The sequence below is a fragment of the Homo sapiens genome, chromosome 4 (genome assembly GCF_000001405.40).
Source record: "Homo sapiens chromosome 4, GRCh38.p14 Primary Assembly".
NCBI classification, from domain to species: Eukaryota; Metazoa; Chordata; class Mammalia; order Primates; family Hominidae; genus Homo; species Homo sapiens.
Window position 1 is genome coordinate 55,311,285 of NC_000004.12, and position 4,123 is coordinate 55,315,407.

At 40.7% G+C, this 4,123-nt stretch overlaps 1 pseudogene; it reads right to left on the bottom strand.

Moving 5' to 3' along the window:
• Positions 1,645-2,640, bottom strand: LRRC34P2 (leucine rich repeat containing 34 pseudogene 2; annotated as a pseudogene).

Sequence of the window (4,123 nt, forward strand, 5' to 3'; positions counted from 1 at the left end):
ATTTCTTGGTGGAAAGATGGATTGCAGGAGATTTATCCACATTCTTGACTGATTCCTGATGGCCAACAGTGTCTGGGGATGGTCAGAGGGAAACTAATAGGCCTACATGAATATGAACTTAAGAGGAAAGTCATGAAAACAACTCAAGTGTAACTCCTAGGAGTGTATCCCTTTACGGTTTACAAAGCATTTTCATACCCTTGATCTCAATTGACCCCTCACAACCCTATGAAGAGAGAGCATTGGCTCTATTTTACATGTAACCCAGGTCTGCACTCCCAGCTTCATCTACAAGAGCTGACTCTATTTTGGCCAACCCCCAAACTTGATGCAAATTCAACCCCTTCATTATTTTAATGAGAAATTAATTTGTTTAATTAAGCATATTGTAATTTTTCTAGATTTTATTTAATATTCACGGAAGCCCATGGAAGGGTCATCTCACATGGAACACAGCTTTACAAAATCTCAATTAAACCCTTCTCAAGTAAGTCTCTCCTCCTGCCCCACTCACCAGATACCCTCTTCCCACTGCAATCCTGCATTACATAGAGTTGCTTCCTTCTTCTGTATGAGCAGGAGCCTTATTAAAGCATCTTATCAACAAGGCTGATGTTGTGGACATTTGTGGGTTTGTTGTTTCAATTTGTTTTTGTTTCTTTATCTTGTCACCCGGCATCCACTTCCCTTTCTTGTAGTAACAACCCACACACCTCCCCCACTCCCAGTCCATGTGATTAGATGATGAAGAAGAGCTGATGTCACGATCATATGACTCAGGCCATGTCAATCACAACCTTAGATTCCCCCGGCTACTGGGATCAGTTTGGGAACAGATGGGTGACTCCTGAGATGTAAGGAAGCCCCATGAAACTCTCACTGAGGCATCTGGGAGAGAAGATTTGCTTCAACCAGATTTGAAGCTGAGAGTATATAAAATCTAGAGCCGTTGCCACCACTGTACAATAAATGGAGACTGAACTCAAAGCCACACACCAGAAGATAGTTGAAAAATAATGTGAAACAAAGTGCTGATGACATAATTTGGGTCTGATCCAGCATGTCTCAAGCCAGCTGCAGTGAGCTGAATGGTGGCCACAAAGATAGGTCTACATCCTAATCCCTGGAACTTACAAATGTTACCTTAAATAGAAAAAGTGAATATTATACGGCAAAAGATGGGATTGAGTTGATGGTCTTGTGGGGAGGAGCTTATCCTGGATTATCCAAGCCCTAAATGCAATCCCATGCTTCCTTATAAGCCAGAGATTACACACAGACAGACAGAAAGGCAATGTGAAGATGGAGACAGAGTTTGGGACACAGCCACAAACACTCCAATTTTGGTTCCAATGAACTCAAATGTTGAGCAGAAGCTAAACAGGCAAATTCCTTCAGAGCCTCCAGAGGGAGCACTACCCTGCCAGTACCTTGACTTCAGACATCTGGCCTCCAGAACTGTGACAGCACACATTGCTATTGTTTTAAGCCACCAAGGTTTTGGTAATTTGTTACAGCAGCCCTAGCAAGCTAGTGCACCTGCTGTGTCCCTGGACTTTTCATTTACTGAATTCCCCTTTTTTTGTAGGCCATTTTAAGTTGAGCTTTTTTTGGTTACTTGTTACAGAAAAACTTTTATTTTATTTTTAATTTATAAAAGAAAAGTTGAATAGCCTATAAAATATTAATCTCTGTGAAAGTAGTAAGACAAATGCATGAACATTACTTTAGAGCTTCTTTTCCATAGATGTTGACCTACTGGAACAAGAGCAAAACCTACATGAAATGAATGGTCGTAAGCTTCTCCCTAGGTTGGTGTCCAGTAATAATGCCTTTTAAGGCCATTGGAGACTTCTGTAAGACACATGCGTTTGTCACCACAAATGGCTCCACATCCACATTGTCTGTTTTTAGACGCCCCATTTGAATTAAGTCTGAATATGCCATGCATATAGCCCTAACAAATGTGTTTTTTTCCCCAAAGGTAGATATTAGAGAATGATATGGTTTGGCTGTGTCCCCAACCAAATCTCATCATAAATTGTAGCTCCCATAATTTTCACATGTTGTGGGAGGGACCCGGTGGGAGATAATTAAATCATGAGGGTGGTTTCCCCCAAACTGTTCTCATGGCAGTGAATAAGTCTCATGAGATCTGATGGTTTTATAAGGGGTTTCCGTTTTCACTTGGATCTCATTTTCTCTCTTGCCTGCCACCATGTAAGATGTGCCTTTTGCCTTCCACCATGATTGTGAGGCCTCCCTAGCCACATGGACTGTGAATTCATTAAACTCCTTTTCCTTTATAAATTATCCAGTCTCATTTGTGTATTTATCAGCAGCATGAAAACGAACTAATACAGAGAATGTGGAATTTGTTTTCATTGATTGTTAAAGTGCAACAAGTTCTCCATCCATGTTTTTGCTGACTGCTGACAACACTTTAAGACTCCTCATGTGTGAAGTAAGAGTTTCACTGAGATAGTGCCTACATTTTCTATTCTGTTAAAAGACATCTATTATTTCCAGGGTAGTATTGCTTTTCAGTATGACAGCAAAATACACCATCCCATCATGAGTTATTTTATTGCAGCCAACGTCAAGGTAGTGTAGGCTACTGTTCAGATGCAGGGCATCACAGCTCCTAAGGCAGGGGATTTCAGAAAGCACTTTCTATATAATAGCAGGAAACCATCTGTTCTGAAGCAACCCATTTCAATCACTGCTTAATATTCAGAGTCAATTATATAAACTGTGGATTAGAAAAGGAAACAAGTAGTAGCCAACAAATAATTTTCATAATAGAACAGAAATGATTCCAAACATTTAATTCAACATGTCTCTTAATCAACTGTGAAAAATTATGCAGCCTTGTGCATTTATCTTCACCATGATAAACAATATTCTTTTGCACTTATTGAAGAAAATCTTTCTCCAGGAATTTGGTGTGCAAAATGAACAGCCAATTGCCTCTCCCATTGGCTGCATTAGAGAGTGGGAAGCAAGAAGTTGTCTTTGTCTCCTCAGTTGGCACAACCTAGGAGCTTAGTAAATGCAGCCAAGACACTGGGCAGGCACAGGCTCGTGTTTAACTTGGAGCCACTGCTTCCCTACATTCAATCTGGTCCGTGTTGCTAGACTTTTTCCCAGGCATCAGGGCACATCTATGTTTTTCAACACCAGCTGAGGAAGGGTCGCATATTCTTTCCAGTTGGGATTCCTGGGCCTCATGCAAATAAGGGGTTATCCCCTGAGAGTGCTTTAAGACAATTGTAAAGTTCTCCTATCCCTCTAGGGAAGTTTAAGAGGCTTGTCTACTCCTAGGACATGTGGCACCTCTGGGTCTGAAGTCCAGTTCAGCCAAGATAGTTTCACAGATTATTGAGCTTTTCAAAGCTTGTGTGAGAATCGGAATGAGCAAAGCACAAACACACTCATAAACAACCTAATAGGGGAAATAAGAAAATTACCTTCCTGAATGTTTAAAAAATGGTTATAGCAGGCACTTGTAAAATCTAGATAAAAGGTAGATATGCTTGCACCTGAAACTGTGTTTTCCTCAAAACATCTATTTTCATCTTAACAATGGTTAAGATGAGACAATGGTTGCCTGTACATGGAAGATAGCTTTCTACTTCTTTAACTTTTCAAGTTTTAAATAATGTACACTTAGTACTTTCATAATCACAAAACTTTTCTGTTTTGTTAAAATTCCACAGTGTACTTTGGGAGGCCGAGGAGGGTGGATCATGAGGTCAAGAGATTGAGACCATCCTGGCCAACATGGTGAAACCCCGTCTCTACTAAAAATACAAAAATTAGCCGGGCATGGTGGCAGGTGGCTGTAGTTCCAGCTACTCGGGAGGCTGAGGCAGGAGAATGGTGTGAACCCAGGAGGTGGAGCTTGCAGTGAGCCGAGATCGCACCACTGCACTCCAGCCTGGGCAATAGAGTGAGACTCCATCTCAAAAAAAAAAAAAAAATTCCACAGTGTAGGTCCTCAATTTAAACACAATTGGCATATCTGGCATAACATACAGTATGTATAAATAGGAAAACAAGGGGAGAGCTGGCATGTGATCATTTTACAGCATTTCTAAACATATCCTAATATTCTAGAGCT